The sequence below is a fragment of the Homo sapiens genome, chromosome 4 (assembly GCF_000001405.40).
Source record: "Homo sapiens chromosome 4, GRCh38.p14 Primary Assembly".
In the NCBI taxonomy this organism is placed as follows: Eukaryota; Metazoa; Chordata; class Mammalia; order Primates; family Hominidae; genus Homo; species Homo sapiens.
This window is the reverse complement of record NC_000004.12, coordinates 143,191,969-143,208,954: the sequence shown is the minus strand read 5'-3', so window position 1 is coordinate 143,208,954 and position 16,986 is coordinate 143,191,969. Positions and strand designations below refer to the sequence as shown.

Here is a 16,986-nt window from a genome sequence, read left to right as displayed (position 1 = left end):
ATCCGGTAAAAAATGAAGTTACATAAGATTATACACCAATACAGATACCACAGGACTAATGAGCTAGATATAAAATACAAAACTACTGAAGTACTTAAAATAAAGAAACAAGAAATTTAGAGGGTAAAGGCTTTTAAAAGTCCAGATGCTACAAATGAAAAGTGGAAGACTGGAATACATAAAATTAAAAAATTATAAATAAAACACCCCACAAATTTGAATTGTGCCTTGAAAAAAGCATGTAGCAAAGGATGATTATCCAGAGTATATATAAAGCAACATGAAAACAAAAAAGACCCAACAAAAAGATGTACAAAGAAAAGAACAGGTTATTTGGAAGAGAAACACAAATGAATAAAGAAAAATAAGAGAGGGAAAAACTCTATAATTAGCAGCAATATGCAAATTAAGAGACATTTTTCTTCATATTGGCAAAAAATTAAAAAGGCTGATTTGTTGCTAAAGGTACAGGTTCTAGGTACAATCTTATATTGGTATCAGAGTTCAAAATGCTACAGCTTTTTTGGAGAGCAATTTGAAAGATATTCAAAGGATATTCAAAGATATGGAAAATATTCAAAGAAAAATCCTCTGTATCTGTATAAGGGCAGAGAGATGTTAATTATAAGCAAAACAACCTAATATTCATCAATAGGAGCATTATTAAATAAAGAAGTATTTATTAAATACTAATTTAACTTATTTATTAAATCTCATTAAATTAAATGAGTATTTAATAAATAAATGATGGCATACACATTTACTGGGAATGACACGGATCTGTATTGCCCCAATATGGGAATATTTCGAATACAAATTATTAAATGATAAAAGCAAGTGGCTGGAAAAGAATATATAAATAGGATTCTCTGCAAATTTTCTTTAAAAAATGCATTTGTTTTCATATTAAATACAAACATGCAACTGTACCAAAAAAGGTCTGGAACAACGTAACTGTTAACAAATTACCTTTGGAAATGGGAATGTCTGCTTTTTATTCTATATAAAATTTATTTTTAAACTATGAAGAAGAATTCATATATTACTTAAGAAATAAAATATGCTGTCTTCCCATTCAGAGATAATATTATTGGCCACTGTTCAATAAGAGATAACCTTTTATTTGCTCTTGCCGTTATAACTGCTTTGGTTTTTTGTTTTCTCTGTCATCTGTAAAAGGAGATGTCTGGACTAGATGACCTCTGGTGGTAAGATGGGGATTCTTTCAGTCTTATGCCTAGTATCACTTGTGTCTAAAGATATAGCTGCTCTCTAAAAAAAAAAAAAATTCCAAATACAAACAAACCAAAAAATTAAATGCTAAATGAAACCAAAAACACCTGAGTGCTGATATTATAATCTGGAGCCCAACAATAAAATAAAGCAAATTCTTCTCTCTCTCTCTTTCTTTCTTTTTTAGATGGAGTCTCACTGTGTTGCCCAGGCTGGAGTGCAGTGGCACAATCTTGGCTCACTGCAACCTCCGCCTCCTGGGTTCAAGTGATTCTCCTGCCTCAGCCTCCTGAATAGTTGGGATTACAGGCACACATCACCATGCCTGGCTAATTTTTGTATTTTTAGTAGAGACGGGGTTTCACCATGTTGGTCAGGCTGGTCTCAAATTCCTGACCTCATGATCCACCTGCCTCACCCTCCCAAAGTGCTGGGATTACAGGCGCAAGCCACGGCACCCAACCAAATTCGACATTTCATAGTTTATGATTCCTCTGGGCAGGCATAACAACTTGGAAAAGCTTAGAACTTAATTTGTAAACCTCTTTGGGCAAGTTCCATGAATAGCTTATTGGTAATCAGGAGAAAAATTCAATCATGTTTTTGTCTTCAGGAAAAGTTTATCGTTATTTTGTACCTTTGCAGATAGCATTCACATAACTAACAACTTCTGATTTCCTATTTGCTTAGGTGCAAAAGAAAATGGATTTGAAAGAAAATTCTTAAGAGGGGAAAGGAACATGTCTGTTTATACATGTGTTCAGTAATTATTGCCCTGGGGTGGAGCAGAACTTAAACTTCTCAAACAGCAACAAAGTTGTTGATCTGACAAATACCAAAATACTGACCGGCAGATAAAATTATATATAACTTCCCTCAAAACACGTATAGGTTAAAAAAAATTACAGTCTCACAGGATAACAACAATGAAGTACTCTAGCACACTTAAACTCTTTGGAATAGTAATTTCTTTAAAGTGGCATTTAAATGCAATGAATAATAAGCAGAATTAATGTTAACTTTTCTTTTTTTGAGACTGACTCTCACTCTGTAACCCAGGCTGGAGTGCAACAGCACGATCTTGGCTCACTGCAACCTCTGCCTCCTGGGTTCAAGTGATTCTCCTGCCTCAGCCTCCCGAGTAGCTGGGATTACAGGTGCCCACCACCACGCCTGGCTAATTTTGGTATTTTTAGTAGTGATGGGATTTTGCCATGACGGCCAGGCTGCTCTCAAACTCCTGACCTCAAGCTATCCACCCGTCTTGGCCTCCCAAAGTGCTGGGATTACAGGCGTGAGCCACCACACCCAGCCTAATGTTAACATTTTCATAGTTTCTGAGCACTAAAAGCAGTTTCATTTCTGAATAAGGCAATCAAAGTTAACATTTATGCCATTTATAAGGAATAATGTGTAGACAATTCTATCATCTTATATTTCATCAGCATGCATCAACTTCTACAGTTAAAATGAAAAGATTCAAGTTTAAACTTACTCTGTGGCCATAAACAAGGCTTGTATAACACTGTTCATATAACATGTATTTCCTAGGTTAATAAGACCAGTTTTCCCAGTTTCAGATTTTCCAGAAAGTCTAGACAAGCAAGACGCCAAAGAATTGGATTGAGAAGTCCAGGCACTTTGATTGAGAATTAACTTAATCTTCTCTTCACTGGGCTTAGGAAAATCCTATAGGTCATAAAGAAGAAAAACAGTTTAAAAGTAAAGTAAAAATTATTTTTGTTGTTAAATTAATTAACACCATTAAGAAGATTCTTACACCGACATTTGAACTTTCTTTTCCCCCACTTAGTTTTGAAGTAACTGGCAGTACTTGGCTAGTCATGAAAATATCAAATTTCACTGTATGGCAAAAATAAATATTGTCTAATAACAGATTTTATCAAGTTAAGGAATACTCAAAAGCTGGAAATTCAAGTCACATTTGAACTCTTTATGTTCTCTATATGCCAGCAAAATGTTTATAAAATAAAACTTTGGGGTCAGAGAATACACTGCAGTGCTATTCAAAGGCAGTAGAATGAAGACTTAAATTTTAGCACACAGTTAAACATAAGTAAACAATTTGTTTTCAAATTTTGTAATAAAAATGTCTCCTTTTCATTAAATACTAATATTTACTCAGTATTAACCCTTAGAAATAAAATCCCAAAGTAATTAAGAAATGAGAAATGAAAGCATCTATGCACAATGACCTTTAAGAAAAATAAAACTTAATCTCATGTTACCCATATAGAAAATTATTACAACATATGGATTTTTCTTATCAACTTTGTGAAGTATGAGATAACATTTCAAGTGTAAATTATTTCAAGCATGAATAGAGCACTGGAGAGTAAGGGAAGTTGGTAAAATCATTAGGGCTTATCTGGATTGCTATTAGCATCTGGCACTTAGACCTTAACAAACAAACATTTTCTGAAGGAGTTTCAATCTTCTCATTTTTGTTGTTGTTGACAGCTAAGAAAAAGTGCTTTCTTTGGGCTTAGAGCGAGCCCATTGTTTCTTCTGAGCCTATATGAGTTATCAGAATTTTCAACATGAAAAACTCTGATGAACTAAACAATGGCAATCAATTAACAAGTGCAGCAACTATCATCTATGGATCCAGGGACAATGTAGAAAGAGATTAATATTACCATCAAATCCACTTCACAATGCTCCTGAACATAATCTACTTCTGAAGTGTCAAAGTGTCACCCCAGCAATATACATTAATTGCTTAACAGTCTTTGTGTTCTGAGCTCAACCAAAATAAGTTTGATTTAGTTAATGATACAGTAAAAAGAACTGTTTTTAATCCACCTCAGATACAGAAGTAAAGATAATAAGACCTTTATGTTGAAATTCAGATCTCAAAAAAACCATCAATAGAATTGATTTCTAATAATTTCTGATTGAGTTTGGCTGAGTTCAGTTCTCCTATTCTTTTGCTATACACTGATTATGCAGTAAGTTTACTGAGAGGAAAGTATGTTTATTGTGATCCAGTCTTCAACACAAACAGAAGTGCTTTTTAGGCTAGGCACAGTGGCTCATGCCTGTAATCCCAGCACTTTGGGAGGATGAGGATCACTTGAGCCTAGGAATTCAAGACCAGCCTGAGCAACATAGTGAGGCCCCGACTCTACAAAAAATAAAAAGTTAGCCTGGCGTGGTGGTGTGCACCTGGAGTCCCAGCTACTTGGGAGGCTGAGGCAGGAGGGTCACTTGAGCTCAAGATGTAGAGGCTGCAGTGAGCCGTGATCATGCCATTGCACTTCAGCCTGGGCAACAGAGCAAGACTGTCCAAAAAAAAAAAAAAGTGCTTTTTAGAACCATTTCCATATAAAATTGAAACACAGTATAACTCCACAAATAATTCAAGTAAAGATTCGAAACATTGATGAACAGTCCACAGCAAAAATAGAATTAAAAAAGAGGCCAGGTGCAGTGGCTCACGCCTGTAATCCCAGGACTTTGGAAGGCCAAGGCAGGCAGATTACTTGAGGTCAGGAGTTTCAGACCAGCCTGGCCAACATGGTAAAACCCTGTCTCTACTAAAAATACAAATTAGCCGGGCATGGTGGCAGGTGCCTGTAGTCCCAGCTATTCAGGAGGCTGAGGCGGAAGAATCGCTTGAATCCAGGAGGTGAAGGTTGCAGTGAGCAGAAATGGTACCACTGCACTCCAGCCTAGGTGACAGAGCGAGACTTGGTCTCAAGAAGAAAAAAAAAAAAAAGATTAAAAAGGGGAAGAAATCAAAGTCAAATATTTTATTAAACTCCATTTCCTGTATTCTAAGATGTACTCTACATATACTTTAACACTTCTAATATTGGGGTGCAAATCTGATGTATGCATTAACTTAACGTAGCATTTCTTTTTAAACAAATTTCCCAAAAAGCTATTATAAATTTAAAGATATGCCTTATAATTGATGACACTGCAGAAATAAAGAAATATGGTTATTAATTTAGAATGGTGACTCCAGCAAGAAAGCTGTTACTCCCTAAATGAAACCTGATTCTAACTGCATTTTTCAAATAAAAAGCATATTACCATAAAATAGTAAATTGAGTAGCTGGTTATAAGAATGTTTCACCTTATTAATATAACACAACTCCACAAATATTGGTACAACTATCATCATACCTTTATTGCCTCCAGAATAGGTTCATAGAGATCTGGAAATCCAGAATAATGATACATCATACAGTGTATCAATTCTGTTAATTGTACTAAGAAGGCTGTACTTGAAGGCAGACCATCATTTTTGAAAGAATGAACCAAATTAACCACATGAGGAACAATCTGAAAAGAAAAAAGGATAAACAATGCTGAATTTATACAAATTGGTAACACATTCTCTAGCCTACAAACAGAACACAAACGATATATGATCAGCAGATACTTTTCTGTATGTGCAGTCACAGAGTTTTTCTTGTTATTAAGTTAAACATTTCTAAAATATCAAGGTAAATCTAGTTTTCGAAGTCGCATATGACTGTAATCTCATATATGACCCCTCTCCTCATCCTTACACACCATCTAAAACATAAACTAAGGTATAAAATAGGAATCTTAGTCATTGCCACCATTCTGAAAAATGCTGTAGGTTGAAATTGTTAGGGTTATTATATTTACCAGGTCATTCAATGGGAATAAACTTTTGAAAAATAATCCTGGAATTAGCTAAAGAGCTCCATCTAGTGTGAATCTAAAATTTTTTACTTGAAAGAATTAAAAGTACATTGCACATTAAAGTCTACTTCAAGAAAATCTTTACATGAGTAACTAAAATTGCAGCTCAGGTAATGGGATTACTTTTAGATAAGCACAGAGACCATGCCTTATGTTAGAGTGGCTATTCTTACTAACAAATCCCATTTCACAGCAAAAGATGAGATGGTTCTAAAAATAAAGGGCATCAGAAACTTCTGTTAGTTTTAAAGACCTGGGGCTAAAAATAAAAGTGAAATCTAAAATGATCATTGCTCATAAACATATAGAATATTGTTAATATTGATCATCAGCACAACCATGTTCTTTCATTGTAAAATTAAACTAAAAAGTCATCAATCCAGAGCCAATCATATCTTTAGGAGGTTATTAAAATGAAACAACTTCTATTTTACAGACATAGCTCTTTCCATTAGTATGATACTATATTTTTTTCAATTAATTTTTAATTATAATCTGATACTACATATTTACACTTCTTATGGTAAAAGGTATCTTCTGTTCTATTTGTAGAACATTTTGGGGTTGCTAACTCATGGTAAAAAAGTTATAACTATTAGGGTCGTACCATCAAACAGCAATAACAGCAATTATAGTAATAACCCACTAATTCCCCGTCCTTCCCACAAAAAGAACAATCATAGTCTTACAACACAGTGCTATTTCCATTCTGCTCTGTCTAGCTTTACATTTGTGCTTAAATCACACTGTAGCTTTTGCATTACCTTCTTACCTCCATCACAGGTACTAATGTGACCATAAAACTACCAGTTCCTAGTGAGTTCATTCTATTGCTATCATCTTTACATTTCTAAGCAAATATGAATTATACTTCTGTCGCATAAAGCCACATTTATCAGATATTCTCTTGCTAAAAGTCAGAAATCCAAAATTATTTTGTTTTCTCAAAGGTGAAGGGAGACAGAAGAGGCAAAAATTTTAGAAGTAATTATTAAATTTATAATTCCAAATCTGTCAAATTAGATTAGGTCTTTGTAATCAGGTTATATGGTTGTCTATTACTATATCTCAAATGGTCAACATTATCACGACATGGAAATAAGACTTAGTCTTTCACAGTTATACAGATATACTTCCAAGCAGGCTATTACTTTCTAAATGTGTGAAAGTTGATTTTTTTGAATAAGTGAAACTAAATGTTTCTTGACATTATTATAATACTAAAGTTTTTGAGGAAATGTATAAAACTTATTTAATTAGAAGCTTTGATTTTTTTTCTTTCTCCATTATTCCTATCTGCCATAGTGTCTGTTTAAAATAAATTTATTCCACTGGGTAAAATGCATAAGAAAAGCAACCTGACCCATAACACCACATATTCTAACATCAACCTTGGCTTGCCCTAAGATATTCTAAACTTATGATGAATTATGATGATGCTGATTCCAGATTATTGCTCATACTTAGCAACTCCTAAGCCCAAGTCCTTTACTGAGTTATTTGGAGTTATAGGTGATTTAACTACCACATTACCCACTACTAGATTAAGGAATGTCCTCAATATGGGCAATAAACATTAGAATGAATGATAAAGTTATGTCAGAGAATCTCCTTCCTAGAAATTTGGAAAACATCTTGAGTTGATTTTTGTATATGGTGTAAGGAAGGGGTCCAGCTTCAATCTTCTTCATATGGCTAGCCAGTTGTCAAAGCACCATTTATTGAAGAGGGAGCCTTTTCCCCATTGCTTGTTTTGACAGCTTTGTCAAGATCAGATGGTCATAGGTGTGCAGCTTCGTCTGTGGGCTGTCTATTCTGTTCCATTAGTCTATGTGCCTGTTTTTGTACCAGTACCACGCTGTTTTAATATACTACTGTAGCCCTGTAGTATAATTTGAAGCTGGGTAATGTGATGGCTCCAGCTTTGTTCTTTTTGCTTAGGATTGCTGTGGCTATTCAGGTTCTTCTTTGGTTCCACACAAATTTTAAAATAGTGTTTTTTTAGTTCTGTGAAGAATGTCATTGGTAGTTTGATTGAAGTAGCACTGCATCTGTAAATTGCTTTGGGCAGTACGGCCATTTTAATGATATTGATTCTTCCTATCCATAAGCATGGGATGTTTTTCCATTTGTTTGTGTCTTCTTGATTTCTTTGAGCACTGTTTTGTATTTCTCATTGTAGAGATCTTTCACCTCCCTGGTTAGCTGTATTCCTAGGTATTTTATTCTTTTTGTGGCAATTGTGAATGGGATCGCCTTCCTGATTTGGCTCCTAGCTTGACTGCTGTTGGTGTATAGGAATGCTAGTGATTTTTTTACATTAACTTCTTATCCTGAGACTTTGCTGAAGTTGTTTATCAGCTGAAGGAGCTTTTGCGCTGAGACTATGGGGTTTTCTAGATACAGAAACATATAATCTACAAATAGTTTCACTTCTTCTCTTCCTATATGGATGTCACCTATTGCCTTCTCTTGCCTGACTGCTCTGGCTAGGACTTCCAGTACTATATTGATTAGGAGTGGTGAGAGAGGACATCCTTGTCTTGTGCTGGTTTTCAAGGGGAATGCTTCTAGCTTTTGCCCATTGAGTATAATGTTGGTTGTGGGTTTGTCACAGATGCCTCTTATTATTTTCAGACATGTTCCTCTAATACCTAGTTTATTGAGAGTATTTAACATGAAGGGATGTTGAATTTATTGAAAGCTTTTTCTGCATCCATTGATATAACCATGTAGTTTATGTCTTTATTTCTGTTTATGTGATTTATTTGTGTATGCTAAACTAACCTTGCATCCCACAGATGAAGCCTACTTGATCATGATGGATTAGCTTTTTGAAGTGCTGCTGGATTTGCTTTGCAAGTTGAGGATTTTTGTATCGATGTTCATTACATCAAGGATAAGACTTAAATGTAAAACCCCAAACTTTAAAAACCCTGGAAGACAACCTAGGCAATACCATCCTGGACACAAAGATTTCATGACAAAGACACCAAAAGCAATTGCTACAAAAGCAAAAATTGACAAACGGGATCTAATTAAACTTAAGAGCTTCTGCACAGCAAAAGAAACTATCAACAGAGTAAACAGACAACCTACGGAATGGGAGAAAATACTTATAAACTATGCATCTGACAAAGGTCTAATATCCAGCCTCTATAAGGAACTTAAACAAATTTACAAGAGAAAACCCTATTAAAAAGCAGGCAAAGGACATGAACAGACGCTTTTCAAAAGAAGACATATATGCAGCCAACAAGCTTAAGAAAAAAAGCTCAGTATTACTGATCAGCAGAGAAATGCAAATCAAAACCACAATGAACTACCATCTCATACCAGTCAGAATGGCTATCATTAAAAAGTCAAAAAAGAAGACATGCTGGTGAGGTTCAAAAAAAGGGGAACACTTATACACTTGGTGGGAGTATAAATTCGTTCAACCATTGTGGAAAGCAGTATGGTGATTCTTCAAAGAGCTAACAGCAGCACTGGCATTTGACCCAGCAATCCTATTATGGGGTATACACCAAGAGGAATATAAATCATTCTACCATAAAGATACATGCACATGAATGTTCACTGTAGCATTATTCACAATAGCAAAGAAATGGAATCAATCTAAATGCCCATCAGTGACAGATTGGATAAAGAAAATGTGGTACATATACACCATGGAATACTATGCAGCCATAATAATAAGATCATGTCTTCTGCGGGAACACGGATGGAGGGCGAGGCTATTATTATCCTTAGCAAACTAACCCAGCAACAGAAAACCAAATACCCCATGTTTTCACTTATAAGCGGGAGCTAAATGGTGAGAACTCATGAACACAAAAAAGGGGACAATAGACACTGAGGTCTACTTGAGCGGGGAGAGTGGGAGGAGGTAGAGGAGCAGAAAAGATAACTATTGGGTACTGGGTTTAATAACTGGGTAATGCAATAATCTGTAAACCAAACCCATGTGACATGAGTTTACCTATGTAACAAACTTTCATGTTTCCCTGAATCTAACAAGTTAAAAAAAAAATGTGGAAAACAAAGCCTTTTCTCAAATGTCTTACACATGATTGTGCCTGAAGACAAGGACAAGTAATTGATGTTTTTTTTCTTGGAAGACTTTGCTAGTACACCTGCTATCTTAGAGTTTGAGTTCTGTTTGTATTATACATATATATAAGGTTACTGCTTGATGATTAAATTCACCAAAATTAGGGCAATTAACTGCAGAAATCACTCATCCTAAGTGGTAATGTGTAATGTAATTACTTGCTAGTAAGGTTTACTTACTACAAAGCCTGTGGACTTTCCTTCAGTGGAAATGAGACACTGAGCAACCTATGTGAATATATTCTAGATAAATAAAAACAAATGGAATTCTGAACTTCATTAGTCTCCTCTAAAGTTTGTTATGGTGAATCAGTATTCCTAAGATTTTTCCACTGTGGGTTTATTGACAATGAGTTTCTAGTCCTATAAAACAGGATTAGTCTTTGGAAGAATTAAGTAACCACACAAAGGCACTGTTTTCCTATGATGCCCTAGAGTGGTAAATGGACAGCTGACCAAAATTACAATTTGTCATTTCTCATCTGCAGTAACTGATAATCAAATAATTGAAATCAAATAAACGCCAATGATTCAGCTGGCTTAACGTGGTAGGATTCTAGATGTATTTTAAAGGTGGGGTCAACAGGATTTGTAGGATGTAGGCTGAGAGTGAATGAAAAGCCTGCAAAGACTGGTGTGTTTTCATGCTTTCAAAATTCTAAAGCAGTGGTTTTCAATCATTTTAATCCTTCTATACTGTTCATTTGTGCAACAGACATCCATCAGTGACATCTCCCATGTGAACAGTAACTCTCAACTGCTGGTAGTTGTTGCAAGTGGAGTAGTTTGAATGAGACACGAAAATATATTCCTAGGAGGGAAATCTCACAATCTCAATTTTCTAGGAAATCATAAAGCTATATGAAAACAGATTTGGGACTAACTTGCAATATTTTCACTACATAAAAATGTGACTCAATATTAAACTAAATTTTCAAATTGAGGCTTTTTCAAAGTAGAACGTTTATGTCATAACTTACCAAATGGAACGCCTCTGGAGAATGCTGAAAGCTAAGCAGCATGTGAGAAAGAACTGCAAGAGCACCAGGTCTCACAAGAGGAAACCAAAGTCGATTAAAAACCTTCAAAATAAGACAAGACACCTTCTTAAGAATTTGCAGGAAAATCATTAATCCAACAGTGGTTATTTTCCTAGAGCTAGAATTTATTTATATGAATGTCCCCCTTCTGGAAAGTTCTAACATAACTTATATTATTAAACTTTGGGAGAAGGATGAAGTTAGGAAATAACGTGACAGAGATCAAGGGTAATGTAACTGGCCTAACCAACTGTTAAAACTCCCCAATTAAATAAAAATTTGTCAAACTATGTTTACAAGGCAATAGCTCCCTAGTCCACTATTCATTCAGTTCACTCAACAAATATTTGTTAAGCACATACTATTACTTGTCCTAGTTCTAGGAACTAGTGCTACAACAGTGGATTAAAAAAACAAAAAACCATCTCTCTCTTACAGGGTTTACCATCTAGAGGGCAGGTAGAAACAATAAAAAGTAACACATGGTGGTTAGTGTTATTAAGAAATTTAAAGCAGGGTATGATGAATAGGGAATGCTGTGTAGCAAAAAAATCTGCTGTTTTATATAGCGTTCAATAAATGCCTCATGAAAGAAGTGATATCCAACTGTAAAACTGAAGGAATTGAATAAGCCTTGCAAATACCTGGGACAAGAGCATTATAGGCAGGGCAAACGGCATTGCAAAGGCCTTGAGGCCTTCAGGCTGGTGTGCTACAGATGAAGAAAAAAGGGCAGTGTAAGTGAAGCAAGAGACCGAGGCAGTAACAGTGGGAAATGGGACTAGAGAAAAAGTGGGCCAGAATACATAGGACCTTGTGTGATAAGTACAGGGGACCAAGGACAGGAGCAGGAAGGCTGCTGCAATCTTGCAGCAAGGGATGATAATGTAGGACCAGGGTGGTAGGATTCTGGATATATTCTAAAGGTGGTATCAGTAGAATTTGTAGGATATGGGCTGAGAGGGAATGAAAAAAAGATAAGAATAGCTTCAAGGTTTTTGGCTTGAGCAAGTGAAAGGATAGAGTAGCCTCTAGGTCTGGGAGGGAAAAGTCAGGAATAAGATTGTAGATAAAGTGAATCTGAGATTCATGTAAAGACAGATGGATACATGAATATGGAGTTCAAGGGAGAAAAATGGACTAAAAATATAAATCTGGCAGTCATCAAATTAGAGATGTTGTTTAAAGCCATGGAACACCTATGCTGTGAGTATGCACTGAGAAGAAAATGGACCAAAGACTGAACTGTAAGGCATTCTAAAAGTTAGAGTAAGTACAGGAGACTGATAAGCCTGTGAAGGAGGACAAAAATCAGGAGAGTATAATGTCCTGGAAACAAGAGGGAGTGATCGACTGTGCCAAATACTGCTGACAGGTCAAATGAGACGAGGCCTGAGAAATGACTCTTGAGTTTAGCAACACTGGAAACCACTGGTAATTTTGGTAGAGTAATGGTGGTAAAAGCTTGATTAGCTGGACTCAAGAGATAATGGAAAGAATGTTTTCATATTGGATATTTGAAAATGAAAAAATTATTTTAATTACTTATACTTTTTTTTGAGACGCAGTCTTGCTCTGTCATCCAGGCTGGAGTGCAGTGGTGCTATCTTGGCTCACTGCAACCTCTGCCTCTCAGATTCAAGTCATTCTCGTGCCTCAGCCTCCTGAGCAGCTGGGACTACAGGCATGAACCATTATGCCAACCTAATTTTTGTATTTTTAGTAGAGACGGAGTTTTGCCATGTTGGCCAGGCTGGTCTTGAACTCCTGGCCTCAAGTGATCTGCCCGCCTCAGCCTCCCAAAGTGCTGGGATTACAGTTGTGAGCAACCATGCCCAACCTAATTACTTATATTTAAATGACATTTAAAAAAATTTCTAAAGCCTATTCAAACTGTTATTCAAAACAAAACAACAATAACATATTCAAAATTAGATGCTTTCAAGGATACCACCCAAAGAAAAAAATATTGATTTTATGAGTCTATATATTCTAATAGATTTCCATACTCCCACTTACCAGTTCTATTTTCAGCAAAGTAACATCTATCAAAATAGTAAACTTCTGGACAGCTGCCAGTCCTTTCAGGAGTGCAATTACCCATGTATCCACATGCTGAGCCAATGGCCAGGATAGCCAGTCAATCATTCTGAAATTGAAGGAAAATGAAACAATCATTATTGAAAATATTTTCATTTAGTTAGTGATAACAAGAGTTACAGTAGATAATCACTCACTTTGTGAATAAACATTTACTGAATTTGCTGGTGAAAAGCACTGACCAAGATGTAGAAGTGAATGTAACAGGTGCTTGTTCTCATGGAATTTCCAATCTTGTAAACTGACAGTTTCTCATATCCAACATATTTCCATAAAAAGAATTTCTGATAAATTATTTTGCATAAACGCAAAACTTAAAATTTATGCTATATAGTGGCACAGGTTGAGTATTCCTTATTTGAAATGTCTGGAACCAGAAGTGCTTTGGATTTTCAATTATTTGCATTACATATTTACTGGCTGGGCATTTCAAATCCAAAAATTTGAAATCTGAAATGTCCCAATGAGCATTTCCTTTGAGCATCATGTCAGCACTCAAAAAGTACTGGATTTTCAAACATTTCAAATTTGGGATGCTCAACCTGTATCAAGAATTTATTAGGCAAATTTACTCTAAAAAGAGCAGCTGAAATGTAATCTGAACTAAGACATATGAATATGATCCAAGATTCCTCCTTCCTGGTGAGTACAGTCTAATATGAAATGTACTGTTTAAAAAGACTGTATTTTGAACTGTGAAAGAGGTATCTTTTTCAAATCCGACTATACAAAGAGAACAAAAAGAAACTTCAAATATATAAAAAAGCACTAAGTCTGTAAATATTGTAATGGCTTCATTTTGCACTAATGAGTGCTTTTCTTGAAAGAAAACTCATTAAATTACCCAATTTAGTGAAAAAAAAAAAAAAAGTAATATAGGATTGGACAGAGACACTCCCTAAAGTTAGATCTCTACCACAATGAAGATTGATACAACTCTTTCAGAAAGCAGCTGAAAGTCAGATGCAGTGGCTCACGCCTGTAATCTCAGCACTCTGGGAAGCCAAGGCGGCTGGATCACCAGAGGTCAGAAGTTCGAGACCAGCCTGGCCAACAGGGTGAAACCCCATCTCCACTAAAAATACAAAAATTAGCCAGGCATGGCGGCACGTGCCTGTAATCCCAGCTACTCGGGAGGCTGAGGCAGGAGAATGGCTTGAACCTGGGAGGCGGAGGTTGCAGTGAGCCGAGATCACGCCACTGCACTCCAGCCTGGACAACAGAGCGAGACTCCGTCTCCAAAAAAAAAAAGAAAGCAACTGAAGCAAATGTTCATATAATTTGACCTAGTAGTCCTATTTTTGGGATTATATACTAAGAAAATAGAAAGGGGAAAAATGAGTTTTTGAAGCCAGAGTGACTGGTTTAAAAAGCTCAATTCACCATTTATTAGCTAGGGGACCCTAAATACCTACATAGATTATTTAACCTCTCTGTTTCCTCACCTGTAAATTACAGATAAACATGCTTATTTTATAGCACTGTTGTGAAGATTAAATGAATTAATCTATAACACTGGAAACATTGTGAATGCCTCTCTTCCACCAAATGTTAATACATGTGGCAATAAATAAATACCTTGATTATACAAAATGTAAATATAAACACTAAGGACATAAATACATTACTAAAACAACAACTACTATGTTAAAAGGACTGACATCTTTTTTCTTTTTGAGACACAGTCTCGCTCTGTCACCCAGACCGGAGTGCAGCAGCATTACTTCAGGTCACTGCAAAGTTCGCCTCCTAGGCTCAAGCGACCCTCTCTCCTCAGCCATCTGAGTAGCTAGGACTACACAGCTGTGCATCACCACAACTGGCTAATTTCTGTATTTTCTGAGATGGGGTTTCACCAAGGGGGTTGCCTGAGCTGGTCTTGAAATCCTGGCCTCAAGTGATTTGCCCACCTCGGCCTCCTAAAGTGTTAGGATTACAGGTGTGAGGCACTGTGCCTGGCCAAAGGACTGACATCTTCATTTATATGGTTATTTTCACAACAGTTGTGTTATATAACTATCTACATTAACACTGGAATGTTTTTTATTAAGGTTTTTGCTTTTAAAATTAAAATGTCCATTCGGATATTAAGAGTGGTCCCAAAGTCCAAATGCATGTTAACTACAAGTTATGTGTATGTTCCCTCCATTCTCTACACAAACTTTATTTCCATTCTTGTTTTTCTGGCCTTTTCCAACAATGATGGTTACAAGTGATTAACATAGTCCTTGACAGCTATTCCACGTCTTCCAACTATTGTTGGGGTGATTCTCATAAAATTTTGTGGCCATTCTACTTATACAGAGTAGCAAAGCAGAGACACACTTGCATATGTGTACAGAGGGTATTCACTGTAGCACTGTTTATGGTATAGAAGAACTGCAAACAACCTAAATGATTGTCAATAAGGAAATGGCTACTATGGTACTGATACTATGCAACAGTATATAGAGTTTTAAATAATAAGATAGATGTACATGAATCTATCCATGAGGAATCTAAAATGGAAAGAGCTGAGAAATTGTTGAATTAACAAGGAAAAAAAAAACCACTGCAGTTTTTTTAAAAAACAATTTTAGTTTAAAAGAAAATCATGTGAATATATATGTAAATATGGACATAAAAAAGATGTAATCTAAAGGCAGGGTATGTGTGAGCACATCTTGGCTCTGTGGATTCTTTGCATCATGGGAAGTCACACTGTCAGAGCAGAACCAGACAGGGCTCACCAGAATACAGGTCTCAAGGCCAGTCTAAAGAGAGTACTGAGAGAGGACGAGAGCAGAGAGTAGAAAATTCCACTTGGCCATGGCTTTTCATTATCCTTCATTACTCAGTCAGCCTTTTTCTCATCCTTTCCATTTCTGCCTTTCCATCTCAAAAGCTTCCATTCTTTACCTTATTTCATGTATGCCAATCTCCTGACCACCTATAAATAAACTTCATATCAGATGTTACACAAATCAGAAGGTGCTGTGGTCTGAATGTTTGTGTCCCTCCAAAATTCGTATGTTAAAATCTAATCCCCAGTGTGTTGGCATTAAGAGGTGGGGCCTTTGTCAGGTGACTAGTGAGTGGGATTAGAGGCTGAAGGGGGCACCCCTGCTCTTTCTGCCAAGTGAGGACACACAGAAAGCTCCATCTAAAGGAACAGGCCCTCACCAGACACCAAATCTGCTTGACCAATTTAATGAAAAAAAAAAAAAAAAAAAAAGTAATATGGGATCTGATAGAGACACTCCCTAAAGTTAGATCTCTACCACAATGAAGATTGGTACAACTCTTTCAGAAAGCAACTGAAGGCCGGGCACAGTGGCTCACACCTGTAATCTCAGCACTCTGGGAGGCCAAGGCGGCTGGATCACCTGAGGTCAGAAGTTCGAGACCAGCCTGGCCAACATGGTGAAACCCCATCTCTACTAAAAATACAAAAATTAGCTAGGCATGGTGACCTTGGATTTCCCAGCCTCCAGAACTGTGGGAAATAAATTTCTGTTGTTCATAAATAACCCAATCTAAAATCTGTATTTTGTTACAGTAGCCCAAACAGACTAAGAAAGCATTCATGAAATAAATATTTGTGTATTATATAGCAGGTACTGTGTTTGGTGCTGAGAATATAACAGTAAGATATGGTTTCTGTCCTTAAAAAGGAAAGAAAAGTTAGGAAATTTGTCAACAATTACACAGTTATCAAATAATAGTACTGGCATTTAAACTAAGCTCTGCCAGCATAGAATACAATGTTTTTTGCCACACTTTAATTATATTTCAGTTCCGTTTCAATTTGATTGGA

General features: G+C 36.1%; 1 protein-coding gene across 4 annotated transcripts in view; it reads right to left on the bottom strand.

The window, feature by feature from the left end:
• Positions 1 to 16,986, bottom strand: part of USP38 (ubiquitin specific peptidase 38) — a 38,958-nt gene that overhangs the window by 14,920 nt on the left and 7,052 nt on the right. For 2 of the 4 annotated variants that reach the window (NM_032557.6, NM_001290325.1), the window contains exons 3-6: positions 13,110 to 13,239; positions 11,031 to 11,132; positions 5,389 to 5,547; positions 2,729 to 2,922 (exon numbers count right to left, since the gene is read on the bottom strand). In NM_032557.6, the coding sequence (NP_115946.2) occupies positions 2,729 to 2,922; positions 5,389 to 5,547; positions 11,031 to 11,132; positions 13,110 to 13,239 (585 nt within the window). Of the gene's footprint in view, positions 1 to 2,728; positions 2,923 to 4,422; positions 4,539 to 5,388; positions 5,548 to 11,030; positions 11,133 to 13,109; positions 13,240 to 16,986 lie in introns of all 4 variants that reach the window. The other 2 variants (NM_001290326.1, NM_001410848.1) reach the window with 2 other exon arrangements.